At 42.9% G+C, this 17619-nt stretch overlaps 2 long non-coding RNA genes across 6 annotated transcripts in view; one reads left to right on the top strand and one right to left on the bottom strand.

The window, feature by feature from the left end:
* LOC105372524 (uncharacterized) overlaps positions 1–16476 on the bottom strand; it is a 28402-nt gene extending 11926 nt beyond the window's left edge. For 2 of the 5 annotated variants that reach the window (NR_187933.1, NR_187931.1), the window contains exons 1-2: positions 16119–16476; positions 7136–7267 (exon numbers count right to left, since the gene is read on the bottom strand). This is a non-coding gene — a long non-coding RNA (uncharacterized LOC105372524). Of the gene's footprint in view, positions 1–3229; positions 3337–7135; positions 7268–15160; positions 15394–16118 lie in introns of all 5 variants that reach the window. The other 3 variants (NR_187930.1, NR_187929.1, NR_187932.1) reach the window with 3 other exon arrangements.
* The window catches only part of SNAP25-AS1 (SNAP25 antisense RNA 1), a 195695-nt gene that overhangs the window by 30602 nt on the left and 147474 nt on the right, over positions 1–17619 (top strand). The window lies entirely within an intron of this gene.

Genomic DNA, 17619 nt, shown 5'->3' with positions numbered 1-17619 from the left:
CTTTCTGCTTCTCACTCTTGCAGAACCTGGGGTTGAATGGCCACAGGTGAGGCCCTCTTGCCTAAGGAATAGAACTAACATCCTTCTCCCCCTTTAAAGGGCTGAGAGAGCGCTGCCTTATCTCAGAGCCAGAGTGTAGACAATTGAGATCTTTCCCCACGGTTCTATGGGAAAGCCTCTGGGTTGGGATGGCCTCTGGGGATATGGAAACAAATTGGGCTGCAATCAGTTAAAATCTTCTGCATTATTTAACGTAGACAATGCTCCTTCTATCCTTTGAAAAAAATAGTATATTTATTTGTATTTTTATTTCATTTTTTAATTTTATTTTTTTTGAGACAGAGTCTCACCCTGTTACCCAGGCTGGAGTGCAGTGGTGTGATCTCAACTCACTGTAACCTTTGCCTCCCAGTTTCAAAAGATTCTCCTGCCTCAGCCTCCCACCTGAGTAGCTGGGAATTACAGGCATGCCACCATGCCCGGCTAATTTTTGTATTTTTAGTAGAGAGAGGGTTTCGCCATGTTGGCCGGACTGGTCTCAAACTCCTGACCTCAGGTGATCCACCCGCCTTGGCCTCCCAAAGTGCTGGGATTACAGGTGTGAGCCACTGTGCCTGGCCAATTGTATATTTAAAACAAGTTTGACGTGCCCAGTCATAATCTATCTTTACGCACTCAGTTTCTCAAAAGGGTTTGGGGGGGAAATAATTTTGATGGCTTTATATGTCTAAGATTACCACTTGAACTTCAATATCCCCTTTCTCTTCTTCTTTGGTGGCAGAACACCTTATTTTTAGCTGGGCACATACATCTCCCCTGAGAACAAGAACAACATTTCTCAGCTTTCCTTGCAGATAGGTGTGGTCATATGACTAAATTGGGCTAATGCAGTGTATGAGGAAGTGTTGTGTGAGGCTGATGAGCAATTTCCTTAGAAAATGAGCCTTTACCCTTCTTTACTTCCTTCCTCTACTGTGCAGGCTGGAATGCAGGTTTGATGTCTGGAGTTTCAGCAGCCATTTTGAGCCATAAAGTGAAGGCCAAGAGCAACAAAATAAAAGAAGCTCATATTCTTGGCACCGTGGAGTGCTAAATCTGCCCTGCACTATTTAAATTTAAATTTTTTTTATGTGAGAGGAATATAAACTTTTATTTCTTTAAGTCACTGTTTGCATTGTCTATCATAGGCATCTGCACCCAAATCAAATTCTAACTGAAACACACACTTCTGAAGTAGAAGACAGTTATGGAAGTGAGTGTTCTGCAACTGAAATGGCCCGATTAATTAGGTTACACATGGAGATGAGAGGTATGAGGCCTCACTTAGTCTGCTCATTATTAAAATGTATCTGATCTGTAGGCCCATCATCCATATTTATTCATGATGTAAGAAATTTGCATTAGATTCTTAGATTAAATATTAGGCCAGATGTAGAGACTACAACATTTTCCACATCTTGTTCATTTTACCATTTTTTATCTATTGATACATATTTATTTTTAAATTTCCTTTTGTTTCACTTTTACCTATATTTTTTGATTCAATATTTCTTTTGTATCTTTTCTTTTCTTTTTTGAGACAGGCTGTCACTCTGTCACCCAGGCTGGAATGCAGTGGCACAATCATGGCTCATTGCTGCCTCGACCTCCTGGTTCAAGCCATCCTCCCACCTCAGCCTCCTGAGTAGCTAGGACTACAGGCATATGCCACCATGCCTGGTTAATTTTAATTTTTTGTAGAGATGGGAGTCTTACTATGTTACCCAGGCTGGTATTGAACTCCTGGGCTCAAGCCATCCTTCCACCTTGGTCTTTCAAAGTCCTGGGATTACAGGAATGAACCATCATGCCCAGCCTGGTTCAACATTTCCACATTAGACTTTCCAATGTTATTTTTCACAGACACAGAGAGAGAATCATTACCAAGTGGAGTATTTTTCTGGTTAGGGCAAAATGGCACAAGGGTTGAACAAGGAAGAAGACAAGGTTGGCTTTCTGGGCTGTCAGAAAGTTATGCTTGTGATGTTGGCATCATTACCCAAGTATGGTTAAGAACGTGCAAAGGACATATGCAAAAAGTACATGTGCAGGAAGAAGACAGAAAGGAAGTGCCCAAATTGAGAGCAGTTGTTACTCTCTGGAGAATGGAATAGAACTCACACTATTATTTTTCATCTTATATACTTTTGGATTATTTGTTGTGTTTTTATCCTTAGAATCAGCATTTTTTATTCTATAATTTGAGAAATAGAAATTAGTCAAGAGGTGCATAGTCAAGAGGTGGTAGTGATTCTAAAGTCACAGAAACCATGGGAATGTTCAGCTGTGCCTCTGTCCAAAAGCCATTCACAGACCTAAGACCACATTCTGGAAAACCTTAGCTCCTGCTTGGATCTGCCCTTGTGTCTTCCAGGAGAGTTTCCTCTTTCCTGCTTAATCAATACAGGAGAGTTGTTTCTGGGTAAGTAGTAGGAGGGCAGTGAAATGCTGGGCCAGGCTGAGGGTTACCTGCAGACTGGGTCAACACAGACTCCAACCTAAATATTTACCCAGGTGCTGATTGCATGACTGTGCTTTCATTTTGTCATCACACTGTTTGCTGAGTTCCCTGAAATACCCTACTTCCTCTTACTCCAGACATTTTGCTATTCTTCCTCCCAGGAATCTATTTCTCTGTCCAGCTTCATGGTCATTGGCTTGTTATTGTAGATGATTGCATTAAAGGTCACAGATTTCCATGCCTCCATTTACCCACAGCTTTGGTTAGTGACCTTCCATACTGGTTCTGGGCTTGGCTGAGATGTGTTTAGCTAGGGAGACAGTAGCCAACTCATTGAAAAAAGTGGCTCAAAAAAGGGCATGAACATTTTGGCTTTCTCTCTTTCCCTTGGATCCTTGCCACAATCTAGAGAACAGGCTTGAGCTGGCCTGCTGGAAGGATGTGAAAGATACATGGAGCAGAGCCAAGTCATCCAAGCCAAGGCCACCCTGAACCAGGAACTGAGAGCTAATTCAGCAGCTGAGAGTGGATGCCAGAACAAGCCCTGCCAAGATCAGCCAAGACCAATCCAGATTTGCAGAACTTCCTAGTAGAAATGTAAGCGCATGAGAAATAACAAATGGTTGTTGTTTTATGTCACTACGTTTTGGGATGGTTCGTTACATAGTAACAGCTAATTGCTTCAGTTGCACATTCCTTTCCTCATCTGCCTTCCTCCTTCCACCTTACCACAAGCACATCAGCCCGTTTCTAAACAACTGCCTCATTTCCAATTCTCATAGCTTCCTTGGTCACATCTTCAAATACTTCCAATAGCTTGCATTCCACCCATAAGCCTGCAGAAGAGAGAGAGAGATTAAAAAAAGAAATATATTGAGGATCCTAGTGGTGGCCTATTTCATATGAGAGGGGCAAGGATTAAACTCTCCGTCTGCCCTGGGACGCAACTGAGGCAGGCAAATGCTACATTACACTGGGCCAACTGACTGGTTTTTAAGATGACTGTTCTTTCACCTACAGAGCCTTCATTCTCTTCCTTTTCTTGCTTACTTCACCACTAACACCATAGATTTTAGTCAATCTCTTCATAGCCAGAAAGCACATAATTAAAGGGCAAACTCATAACTTTCTATTCATAATTTAGAGAAGGAGGAATAAAAAGAAGGAAAGCAAAATATTTAAGTTAATATAGTTACAGGCTCTGTATATTGGCTCGATGCTGGTGGACACATGGGAAACTCATGTTGTGGCCAACAGGAAAATTATGAATCACCATCCCATTGATTCAGAACTGTGTGGTATGAACAGGTCACATAGTGATTACACGTTCCAGCTCTGCCATTTAACACCTATGTGACTGTATCAGTTTTCTCTGTGTAACAAACCTCTCCCAAATTTTGTGGCTCAAAACAACCATTCACTCATAATTGTTCATGAATCTATGGATCAACTAAGGGTTCTGCTGATTCAGGTTGAGCTTGCCTGATCTTGGTGGGGTTTGGTCATGCATCTGTGGTCAGCTGGAGGTTTGGCTGGTGCTGATTGATTTCATATAGTGACATGAGAATGATTGGAGTCTCTCTCCACATGGTCACGCATCACTTAACACGCTAGCCTAGGTTTATTCACTCAATGGTCACGGTGTTCCAGAGTATGCAAGAGAAGAAATCCTAGTGCATAAGCACTTTCCAGGCCTCTGCTGGCATCACACTTGCTCTGTCCTATTGGCTGAAGCAAGTCACATGGCCAAGCCCAGCATCAGCAGGGAAATGTACTACCAACAGATAGATTCAGAGAGGCAGGAAAAATATTGGGGCCATTATGGCATTGATTCACCACAGTGATGTTACATAAATCTCTTGGTTTCTCTGAGCCTCAGTTTCTACCTCCAAAAAGTGGATATAGTAATATTAGCCTGTTGTGGGTTATTATGTTCCCCAAAAGATATGCAGATGTTCTAACCCCTGGTAGTTATGAATGTGACCTTATTTGGGAATAGTACCTTTGCAGGTGCAATCAAGTTAAGATGAGGTCATTAGTATGTGCTCTCATCTAATGTGACTGGTGTTGTTATAAGAAGAAGAAAACATCACATGAAGATAAAGACCCACAGGGAGAATGCTATGCGATGACTGATGCAGAGATTGGCATAGCACAGCTACAAGCTTGTGAATGCCAAAAATTGATGGCCACCATTAGGAACGAGGAACAGGCAAGGATGGATTCTACCCAGAGTTTCAGAAAACATGGTCCTGTGAACACCTTGATCTCAGACTACTAGTCTCCAGAACTGTGATACTACATTTAAGCCACCCAATTTGTATTACCTTGTTATGGCAGGCCTAGTAAACTTAAACAGAGCCCAACTCATCTGGCAAAGCTTTTATCAAGGTTGAGTAAGAACAGTTACTGCTGATGGACGGACTCTAGTCCTACAAATGGTTATTCTGAGATAATGCAAATCTTATAGTTTCCTATTTGTAGGAGGCTGTTCAGGCAGGGTGGAGGTTATATAGTTGCTGGAGCATCAGATCAGCCTCAGATCTCTGGTGTTAGAGTCCCTGGGATTTCCAAGGGAGGAAAATGCCAGCATTGCTTGTCCTCCTGTCAGCTTCCCTCCTGGTTTGTAGTGTTACCGGGGCTCCTGACAGATCTGCCTCCACCAATCCCTGAGCTTGAAATGCCTGCAGGGCCGGGGATTTTCCCCTTTGCTAAAGGAGAAGCCCCAAGATCTGGTAGCTGGCCTTGCTCCCATGTAGCTCTAGCTCTGGGAGCATTTCAGGAAGGCAGAGCCTAATTTAATCTTCCTTATCTTGTGATTTCAATACTTCAATACTGTGTCCTCCATTTATACTTTCTTATTATGCAGGGAACATGGTTCCAGACGTTGCTAGAGGCAGTAGTAGTTGTTTTTGCAGGCAAACACAGGCAGGGAAAAGCTTGCCCTGTGGGCTGCGGGAAGTCTCACATCTCCCTGGGCATTGGATGAGGCTAAGTACATGAAAGGGCTCCCAGAATGCACCACTGGATTTCTCCCAGAATGCTCCCTGTTGCCTTCCCTAATTTGGCTCACCCTATTCACTTTGACTTGAGAAGGCTTTCTACCATCTCTCAATGCTAAAATGGTTCTTAAACTTGGAGAACTTTAAGACAAGTAAAAATGGAGAGAATATAGGACTTGAAAGAAAGACCTGAGTTTAAGATTCATATTTCACACTTACTGGGTGTCTTTAAGCAAATCACTTAACATCTCTGATGTTGAATAATTACTATTATTATTATTATCTGGTAGACAGAGTAACCTCATTCTGAGAGTCAGCTACCATAATGGGCCTGAAAGTGCTAAACTGTGTAAGACCATTCAATTTAGGAGGAGAAAATTTACTCATTCATTCATCTAACTAATAACTATAGGAAGCCTGTTCCATGCCAGGTTCTCTACTAGATGTTAGGGATGTGAATGAACAATATAGTTGAAGTCTCATAGAGCTTACATTCTAGTGCAGGAAATAGGCAATAAAATAGCAGACAAAAAATGACATAATTGCAAATAATTACAAATTATAATAATTGCTAGGAAGGAAGCCAATTGGATCTTAAGCAACATGGACCAAATTGATAATGTCTGCGTTTGAAGGCTCTAATTCTCTGTACCTGGAGGAAAAACCAGGAAGGGGTGTGATAGGGATAGATTTTTTTTTTTTTTGAAGCGGAGTCTTGCTCTATTGGCTAGGCTGGAGTGCAGTGGCAGAATCATGGCTCACTGCAACCTTCCTTGAAGTCCTAAGCTCAAGTGATCCTCCCATCCCAGCCTCCCAAGTAGCTACGACTATAGGCACACACCATCGTGCCTATTTTTTTTTTTTTTTTAGTAGAGATAGGGTCTTGCCACCATGCCCAGCTAATTTTTGTTGTTGTTGTTGTTTCTCAGTAGTGACAGGGTCTCATTATGTTGCCCAGGGTGGTCTTGAACTCCTGGACTCAAGTGATCCTCCCACCTCAGACTCCAAAAGTGCTGGGATTACAGACATGAGCCATCTAGCCCAGCCCATTTTTTTTTCATGTATTCTGAATTTCCTGTTGACCTGTTTTTCTTACTGCCTTGCCATTCTCTACTTATTAAGTCACTGGCATATGTATTTTCATGGGATGGCAGGGGCCCCTAGACAATAAGAGGTGTCACTGAATCACAACTTAAAAGTTGAATGAAACAAAAGTTTAGAAAGCTAACTTTTGTCAGCAAAGAAAAAATTAAAAATAGTTAAGCCTTTCTTTACATATTAAGAGCAATGTGTGGAGACTGAACACAGAGTTTCGCTGTAAAGCAGAGTAGAAAAACTTAGCTTACATTAAAAGGAAAGTTTCAATGAGACAGAAAGGAGTAGAAAGTTTCCCACCACTGAAAGAGAGAGGGAGAAAGAGAAACTGAGGGGCAGGAGGTCAGATATGAGTGAACTGGTTCCTTCTAGCAGATAGACAAAACCTTTAGAAAGATAGTTTTAGATGATCACTTAAGATGATTATTTTTGAGCAATTAGCTTCGTATTTGCCTGCTCTTTATTGATAGACTGACTATTTTGATAGCTGCCCATCTTACCTCACACAGTCCATAGTGACCAGAGAAACTGAACTCACCTTTGGTTACTGGGGTGGGGCTTAGTCTCAGCAAAAATTATGGTAATCCCAATCCCCTTGATGGCAATTGGTTCAGAAACCCAGGCGTTCGTCAGTCAGCACATGGTATTCCTCTGTCCATTCTTACTTGTTCTGAGATGACCCAATGAAGATGGAGGAAAAGTTTTTAAATACAAGGTTACAGAGAAGTTTTCTATTTTTCTTTCCCATTGGTGATGGAGGAAGCAGGCTCTCCATACAGTAGTCATTCCCCCCGTCTCCATGATTTTATTTTGATTTCTGCATCTCGGTTACCTATGGTCAACCACAGTCTGAAACTATTCCATGGAAATTTTGAGAAATAAACAATTCACAAGTTTTAAATTGTGCACCATATCCATATTGTACATGCTACCACACATTAGTCATTTAGTCCTCTCGGCTACCAGATTGACTGTTGTAGTATTATAGTGCTTGTGTTCAACTAACCCATATTTTACTTACGGTTGTTAATCTTTATGGTACCTAATTTATAAATTAAACTTTATCATAGTATATATGGATAGGAACAAAGATAGTATATATAGCATTTGGTACTATCAGCAGTTTTAGGCATCCACTAGAGGTCTTGGAACAATTCCCTTTTGGATAGGGGGGTATTACTGTACTATTTACAGCCAACTTCTGGCTATGCAGAAAAGTCAGCTTTGGAATGAAGTCAACAGTGTGGATTTCATAGTGAAGAGATGGAAATAACCCATGTCCCAGCTGACATTGCTGAGCCCCTGAATTAACCAAACCTAATGCTAGACTTTTCATTTTGTGCTATAATGACGTTCTTTCTTGTTTAATCCAGTTTGAGTCAGGGTTTCTGTTATTTAGAGCCAAAAGCATCCAAGATGATACAGTGGGAGAAATAACCAGACAGTTTTGGAGGAATGCCAGAACAGGGAAAATTATTCCTCACTTTTACCAGCAGATCCTAGAACATTTAAAGACCTTAAGATGAGTCCTATGCCAACAGGGAGATGTCAAAAAAGAAAAGAAATGAACACATGATAGTGTTAAATACCAAGAAAGCTTATTTCGCCTGCCTTAGCCTGAGAATGCTTTACAGAGAATTCACTTTCCTGCATGCCCCAGGAAACTGACTTATGACTCCACCAAAGGACTCTCAGTAAAGAATGTGGTGATTTTGTAGAAGAGGCCTGTAGGGTGGGTCACTCAGGCTCTAGGTTGAATGGGAATCATTGCCATGTCCCAGAGGAGGAATTTCAACACCAAGACCCCCAAAGAAAGACAATTCAGCAAGGACAGACTATAAATTACACAAGACCCATCAGCAATAGATGCAGCAAAATTAGAGTTTTCCCTGGTAGGGTATATCTGAACTTGAGGTCACTGGGAGCCAGCAGAGAACAATATGTAGGTAAGAACATAAACTTCTACCTGTTCCCAAACACTGTATTAGAAGGAAAGATCAGGTTGTGAGATCCACTGAGAAGGAAGAGATAACAATCCTTCTAGAGCATTTGAATAAAAAGTGATTAATTATTTGCCCAAATGAGACTGAGTTAATCTGAAAGAGATGATGTTAAACTGGTAGTGATGGATTGCACCATTTGTCCTAATTCTTTGCCCAACCCTGTATTCATGTATCCTTTTTCAGGTGATCTCATAATTCCTCTTTCTATGAGGTAGCGTCTAGAGCAGAGTCTATTTCCACACTCCTTGGATCTGGGGTTGGTCACTTGACTTGCTTTAGTGAATGATGCAGACTGTAGTTGTATTTAGTTATCTATCATCTGTCTCTCCTTTCCCACTTAAGGATACATTAGCTATGGGTACAGGGCAGATTAAGACACTTAACCAACCCAAATGTGGCCTGCACAGTCCACACGGCACCCAAGTCCACCCCATGATAATACGGGTATGGGCCAGTTTAGACATTTTTATCTGATGGAGATTTGAGTTCTTCCCAAGACTGAAAGCTGCTGGTCTCACAGAGCATTGCTATCCAGACCACTGGGGGCAGCACTGCATTTGGCCCAAGGATCGCTTCTTTCTGGCTAAGAATCTTATTGCTTCTGTCCTTGCAATAGGGATTTCCCAGAGATGGTCTTCTTCTAGGGTTCATATCCAATCCCACTTAAGATTTTGATGTTGAAACAAAATATTTTATTTTTTTTCTGTGGAATACTTCATTTTACTTTTCTAATGTGAGAGTAACAGCTAACTGAATGCTATTATTTCCCAGCAGTCTTAAAAGGCAAATTGAAGGACTGAGGCCCAGGAGCTACCAAGCTGGAGGCTTCTTTGAATTATGCACTTAGGTGACCAGTATATTTCAGACAAGAACTCAAACAAGGTCTAGGCTGACAACTTTGCTCCTTCTCAAAGCAAAGATGGCCTATGAAACTAGTGAGAACAAAGACCAAAGAAGGAAGAAGGCCTGCCTTCTGGCACACAGGTGGCAAATGCTAATTTTTTTATGTCATTAACAACATTAATAATATTGGCAGATAACAAGCATCATAAAAATCTCATCAAAAATGATAAAAGCTGTGTTTGGCACCACAACGTCACTTGGAAACTGGCCTCTGTTTAATAGTAATTGTCTGAATCACTAAGAATATTTGCCTGTTCCAGGCTTATCACTGGGACTAGCTCTAACAACCGTCAGCATTTATTTATTTTTTCTTTCCTTCATGAGCTAAGTTTCCCTGCATTATTAGTACACAGAGGACTTCTGAGATGAAATGAAGCTTGGTTGATTTACTGCATCTCCTGCTGCCACAGCGTGTGCTGGAAATGAGACTTTGTGCCCAGGAATAGTGGAAAGGGGCACCTGTTCCATGTCCTGCTTCTGCCTCCCAGCCAAGGATCTCTGTGGATGCCTTCCAGACAGTTAATTTAACTGGTTTCCTTGGATGGGCCAACAGCACAAGCTCTGGGCTCTGGCAATTCCCAAGATAGGACCTATTTACCACATACCTTGTTTTGCTGACTGCAAAACTCTTGTTAGAACATGCTTATTTCTTCCCTAAACACTTAAATCATCTTTCTAGTTGAAGCCTGCATATCCTTTGTGGAAACACATGGATCCTACATCTAGTTTCTTTCAACTTGCTAAACTGCTCCTTGTAAGTTATCGAAGCTTTATCTTTCAACACAAGTGTGCAGAATGGAAATAGCAACCATAAAGCAGCCAATCAGTTAATAGGTATTGAGTGGGGGAATAATCTTTCTCTCTGCAGTAGAAACATACATAAAAAACGTTATGGGTTATATGTAAGTAAAAAGTAATGACCAAAAAATATGAGTCACAATGGAGTACAATATATGTATAAGCAATAATCGAGGAATACAAAATTAACAAAAGAGTCCAATCTTCAAGACAGTCCAAAGATCCCACTATTAGCCACTCTACCCCTTGCATGTTTAGATAAATAATGGGAAACTGCTGTGGAACTAATGGATGCCATTGCAAAAATCTGCTACTATAAGCAATTTTATAAGTTCCTTGAGGTTGAAGAAATTAAACAATATGCTTGATCTGGTCTTTGGATTACAGATCTTTCATTTCAGATCTAGACCCAGCCCAACTTATTGTTTGCTGGTACAACCCAAATATGATAGGACTCTCTTGTGGACCAGTTTTTGCCTGGACAAGATAACAGTGTAGTTTCTGGTACCTAGAAGATGAATGTAAATCTTTACTGTAAGTTTTCTCAAAGATGTAGTATAGGGGCTTCTCACAGTGAGTTGCTCAGAAAACATTCACAACATTCTCTCTAGGTATCTCTTCACAAAATTTTTCAGTGAGAACAACTGCTAAATTTTCTCTCTTTTTCCAAACCTTCCTTTCACCAGCATGTGGCTTCCCATTTCTTCATTCCCTACTCTGCAATATTTCTGCCCATCATGCTTATAATATGGGAACTCCCTCACCCCTTATGCTTTACAGTATTGTTCTTCTGTTCTTTACACTATTGTTCTTCTGAGAATCATCCTCCTTCCCACTCCAACTTTAAATGAAATTCCAGTAAATAAAATTCTTCACTATGGTTAAAGACAGAACTCCCCACTCCTTAAGTGTGGGCTACAATTAGCATCTTGATTCCAAAGAATACAGGATGGAAAGGGAGAAAGAAGCAACTTTACAGTGGAGAAGTTGGCAAACAGCACATTAGCCAGATGGTCGAGGTTAACGTCATTGGTCATAAGTCACGTTGATGATATGCACACTTGATATCATGTGTTTAAAATGCCATTTTGCCTCTGTGGTCTTTTCTCTGTGGGAAGACAATAACTCAAGTGTAACTATGAAAAGAAAAATTTAGAAAAATCCAATTGAAAGGCATTTCACCTGACTAGCTCTCCTCAAAACTTTTGTGGTTACCCCAAAAAAGGAGAGTTTGAAAAACTGCCACAGTCCAGAGGAGTTAGGAAGACATGACAAACCAATACAATGTGGTATCCCAATTAGGATGTTGAAACAGAAAAAATGTTATTCGGGAAAAATCAATGAAACCAGAATAAAGTATGGAGTTGAGGTTTTTTTTTTTTCATTAAGAAAAGGACAATTGATGTTTTGATTTGGACCAAGTATTTAGAGAAGGCACAAACTCTGGTTGTCCTTTCAGGGGACATAATGATTCTTAATTAAATTTGCTCCAGATAACTACCCAGTTTGCATGTGGTTTAGGCCTGCCAAAGTGTTACATTAAAAACCAACTAAGTTAGTGGCCGATAGTAATAAAAATAAAAAATAGATCAAACTTCACTTCTGTATCTGGAAGAAAAATAAGAGATTCAGTTCATAACTCAGTACAGTATTTTAAAACATTCTTTCTTCTCTCTAGTTTTCATGTGGCCTGTAGTTTTATTCATTCTACAAATCCCTTCCTTTCTATTCTGCACCCCAGCTTTTTTTGCTGCCCAATCTTATGTGGTTCTCCTGTCTCATTCTCTTACTTTTTTCTTCCTGATTCTTCTAAACTTTATCTTCCCATTATTCAGAGTCAACCACCACAAATCCTGGGACCTTACCCAGTAAAGACAGTGGGGAATACACAAAGTTGAGTGATCAAACAGAGCATTCTCATTCACAAGGAGAAGAGAAGGGGATGAGGGGAGGCTGAGAACCCTGTAAATTAATATGGATTGCCCCGTCACAAATACAAACAACTGGCTTTGATAGACGAACTAGCCTTCAGGGAACCATAACAACCACTGTGGGTGAAAAGTACATCCAGAGGAGGAATCATACAGTCTTGGTTGAAGTCCCAGTGACACCACTTAAATGGTAAACTCTATGTTCTGTACAGATAAGATCTATGTCTGCCCTGCTTTCTGTTGTGACTCCAGTGCCCATTCCTGGAAAAGAATTCCTATATATTTGATGGGCGAATTTGAGAAGAAGAGTATCAGTTTCTTCCATTGTTAGGTAGCACATTTAGGCAATTTCTGCCTAACCACTTCGCAGAGATCTTATGATAATGGACATGAGCTACATCGTATGGGAAATAACTTGGAAAAAGGAGATATAGTGGACAAAACATCAGTGTGGACAGAGTATCAGTGTGGAAGGCAGCATAATCCTATATAATTTATTTAATCAAATGGGGACTTGGGTAAGCTCGGTGTCTGTAGTTTCTCATCTGTTAAATGGGGAGGATTGGGCTAAATGATCTCTGAGCTCTTACTGGTGCTCTGCAATGTGACTTTGCAGCTCCTTCCATCAAGAAGCGGGGTTGTGGCCGGGCGTTGTGGCTCATGCCTCTAATCCCAGCACTTTGGGAGGCCGAGGCGGGTGGATTACCTGAGGTCAGCAGTTTGAGACCAGCCTGGCCAACAAGGTGAAACCCCACCACTACTAAAAATACAAAAATTAGCCGGGTGTGGTGGCACACACCTGTGGTTCCAGCTACCGAGGAGGCTGAGGCAGCAGAATCGCTTGAACCTTGGAGGTGGAGGTTGCAGTGAGCTGACATTGAGCCACTGCACTCCAGCCTGGGTGACAGAGCAAGACTCTGTCTCAAAAAAAAAAAAAAAAAATGGGGTTGTGACACACTTTGACAAATAGAATGTGGCAGGATGACAGTGAGCAAGTTCTGAGTCCGAATCTCAAGAGACCTTGTGCAATTTTGCTCTCACTCTTGGAACCCTGCCTCCCCCATGTGAATAAGCCCAGGCTAGGCTCTGAAGGGTTGACAGATACATTAGCTCATCACTCCCATTGCCCCAGCCAAGAGCCAGCCAAGTTCAGACACAGAGCCACTTAGCTGACCAGAAGCCAATTGCAGATCCCAGGTAAGCCCAGAAAAGCTATCCAAGTCTATACAAAGACAAGTCAAACACATCATTTTTTAAGTTACCAAATTTAGGGGTAGCTTGTTACATGGCAATTGTTCATGGAAAAACTTTCAAATCTAAAATGCAGCCAATCAATTACTTTGGCTTCACTTGCACTTTCAGACAGAGGGCACATTTTCCAGGGAATCTCCCGTGACCAAGAAGGGAATCTGAAACATCCAATGCATTGTCTTGATGGTCTGTTGTGTGCTTCTGTGTACTTCCTATACATCACTGCTATATTAGCTATTATAAAAGCTCTTACAGTTATGGTTAAAACCTATAAGAGCTACTATAAAAACCTATAAGAGCTATTATAAAAGCTCTTATAGTTACGGTTAAAAGAGGTTCCTATGGTTGGAACCTCTTTACTTCTTAAGCTCTTTCATATTTAGCAAAGGCTAAGCTACCAATAACTCTTGATACTAACTGAAAAAAACATGTAGTAGAACATTGCTGTCTTCAGTTTCCTCACCCTTCTCCACTGAAAGCCATTATCCTTGAAGATGGACAGCACCCACTTGTCTTTAGCTATCTGGAATCTTTGACCAGGAATGTTGAAGCTTGCTTGTTTGCTGTCATATTAGATTAGAACTCTATTCTCTGCATTTTAAAGCAACAGATTAACTCTGCTATGATGCGGCATATCATAGAAAACTCAGTTCAAAGTTTTCTTGGGTGAAAAGGGGGATTTAATATCTGTTACTGGAAGTATCTGGCTTCAGAAGTGGTATTAATTAGATTTCAGTCTTTTTCACTCTATGAATAATCTCTTTTCCTCTATGTTGCCTTAATTTACAAGCAGATTTTCTCCATGTGGTGGCAAAATGCCTGCTGGAAGCTCAAGGCTCCCATGTTTTCTCCTAAATAACTGCAGCAGAAACAGATCTTTCCCTTCCCAATAGTTTCAGCCAGTCTTGAGACTGATTTTCATTGGACCCCCTTGTATCACATCTTCTGCCTGAACCAATTACTTCTTTCAGGGGAATGGAAAAATGCAAAGGGGCCAAACTGGTAGCCTGCTATTCCCTGAAAAAAGTAAATGGGAGGTGATGATGGGGTTAGTGTAACTCAATCAAGTGGACCAAGAAAGAGTGGGGTTTCCAAAGGAACATCAGGTGCTATTAGTGGAAGGGAGAACAGATGCTGACCAGCAAACTAGCAGCTCCCACGAGAGCAGAGGTTTTCAGTCTTACTGTTGTTATAGTCACCTGGGGGAGCTTTTAGAAAACACCTCTAGAGGTATGGTCTGAGGTATGGCCTGGGCATCAGTGTTATTTTAAATTCTCCAAGTGCTTCTAGTGAATAGCCAAGCAAGAGAATTGCTGTGTTAGAGATATTAATAGGTCATTAAACCTTACCCTAAGGATACCTTGAAGTGCTATGGTTTTGTTAGTTTAGGTTTTATGTTAGTTTAAAGGAGTGCATCTCTCAGGTAGAGTTTCCAACTCTAGAGGAGGCCAAGAGTCAGTGTGGTGCAGTGATCTGGGAATAGATTGGGGTGGGTAGGTGGGAAGCTGTAATTGCCCCCAATCTGAAATACATTAGCAACCTCCTTCTGTGTACACAGCTGCCAGTCCTGATGGAAACTTCCGAAATTAAAATTTGAGAAATCTTTTTTTCCAGAAAGCCAAAGAATACACTCTGATGCCCCCAATTACAGAACGAGAAGTACAGAAGGTTAGGTACCTGGTCAGAGGCCACTTCCTCCAGGGTTAAATGTATAGACCCTTGGGAGTCCCTGGCATCATTCAGCCTGTTGAGCCCACCCCTGGCTCCCTGACATCGTATCAGTGTGGGGTGGAACAGCCATTGCTATCTCTGCTACTGCAGTGTTTTCTCTCAGCTGGTTGGAGGACTGGATTCTCCTCATCTCTCCAGTGAGGAAAAGTTCTGGCCAATCACAAGAAGCCAACTGGAGACTGCAAATATGGGGATGAGATGGCAAAATCTGTTTTTGGAGCTGCAGGAGACACACCTCTCCGTGTGCAGAGATGCCCCAGAAACTTGTCAGGCGGGCATTGGCAGCTGCTGAACGCCCAGGGTTGCGTGGGGGTTTCGGAGGCTGTCTGGGTCTCCACACTCGGAATTCCACGTCTTCCCTTACCGAGGTCGAGGCCCTGGGAAAACCACTCTGTGTTGCTTCTCTCGCAATTTTAACTTCCAAGAAACCGGAAGAAGAGAATGCCCAGGGAAAAGCAGTGGATGCAGGAGGCAAAGTAATGGATTGCAAATCCCAACCCCAAAACCTTGATTCCTGTCTGCGTTCCTGCCTCAACCTCAGTTTTCTCTTCTGTAGAATGGGATATTAGATAATGTTTGACAGTCCTCCAGGCTCTGTGGGTTCTGAAGCTATGATGAGGCGGCAGCAGCCACTAACCTGCTTTGCTTTGGGGGCAACTCGTGGTTTGCAGCCGATGGATTGTTTATGACCCTTCTCATTTTTAAGAGCAAAAGACACCTCCTTTCCTCCTTGTCATTTTCTTCCCTCCTGTCCACCATCACTGTCATGGCAGGAGCATGAACTTTGGGTTAATGTCTAAAGTGTGTGAAGGGCAGGCCAGCCAAGTCCCATCTCTACGGTTTTACTTCCTATATCACACAGGGAGCTGTTTTGCACTTCTGCAGTTATGAAAGCTCAAGTTACCTTCCATTTTTGTTCCTCTCCGGTCGTCTGTCTTCCTCCCCCTCTCCTCTCCAGTCCTGACCCCGCTTCCTTCGCTGCCGTTTACTGATCACCCGCGTTGTGATGACGCCAGGCATTGTGCCAAAGGCGAGGGCCCGAATTCATCAGGGGGTGGATTAGAAGGCTCTGTCCTAAGCGAGCCTATCTTCTAACAGAGCAGATGTAGAAATAAACAAACAGTGACAATGCAGCCACAGCACAGCGCCCCGAGGGCTCCCGCGGAAATGAGCACAGGCTGTTTGGAAAGCCCACGGGAGGCCCCTTGACCCAGGGGATGCCTTGCTGGCGCCCCTCGGCTCGGTGGCAGCGGTGGCAGATTGCAGGCGGCGCGGGGGTGGTGCTGTCACCAGCCCTGCCAGTGCCGCAGTGAGTCAGGAACCCCGCCTCCCAGCCTGCGCCCGCGAACAAATCACCGCCACCCAACTCACTGCGGCACCGGACAGATTCCCTCCCGTCTACACCCTCACCGCTGCCCCGTCCTCCCTCCTGGGTGCCCCCCCCGCCCCCCCGCGCCTTCTGCTCTTCCCTGGGCTCTGGCTCCCCGACCTTCCGCCCGGCCCGCTGCTTTAGCAGCCCGAGGGGTGGGGGTGGCCGGCCCAGCTCTAGGGAGGCAATCGCCCCGCTCCGGTGTTCCTTTGCATCAGGAAGCTTGCTGGGGAAAGGGGAGAAACAGAAACAGTGAAATGACTCAGGATTTTTGAAGGGCTGGGACACAGTAGCGCAGAGGCCTCACTTCAGAAGAGGTGGGAGGCAAGACGCTTTGCCAGTCTCTGTGCCTCAAACACAGGGCCCCTGCCCAAGCTCTGAGCTTGAATTTCTGCAGGAGAGTAGAAATGCAGATATAATTTATAGCTCTAAAAATAAACGGATGATTTTGGATGAATTCACACCAAGCAGGTGACCCAGAAAAAGGAAGTAAGCTCTCAGAACCTTGAGCGTCCACAAAATAATCTCTGCTGGACAGAGATCGAGTTCTCTCAGCCGGCTGCCTTTCCAGTTGACCTTTAGGGAAGAAAGGATGGAAATGAAAAGTAGTGACTAGAGTCATTTCAGTCTCAAACTACCCAAAGGTACGTCGCAGCAAAGCCACTCTGAGATGTATCCCGCTGGTTTGAGACCCCCTGGCTATGAGGGTCACAGGTTCTGCAGGAGTTCCTGCTGTAGCTAGGATTGACTTTGTACCTCCCGGGTCACTAGCCATGGGCTAATGGCGAGGAATGGTGCTGCCTTGGCCTCTGGGATCAAAGACTTAGCTCAGGCCCCGATGGGCTTCAACCAAGATGGGCAGTAATTTGTTCAGTAAAACATATGACTCGGAATCTCAGCTCTTAGAGTGGCAGTGGGAAGCTTCTCGTTTCTCTGGTCCATACCAGTTTGCTATCAGATGAGGAAATGGCTGCCCGTCCTTCATACAGCAGCCAAGGTCACATTCAGGGAACCTAAGTCAGTTCATACCCTCATC

The sequence above is a fragment of the Homo sapiens genome, chromosome 20 (genome assembly GCF_000001405.40).
Source record: "Homo sapiens chromosome 20, GRCh38.p14 Primary Assembly".
Taxonomy (NCBI): Eukaryota; Metazoa; Chordata; class Mammalia; order Primates; family Hominidae; genus Homo; species Homo sapiens.
This window is presented reverse-complemented; position numbering and strand designations above follow the sequence as displayed.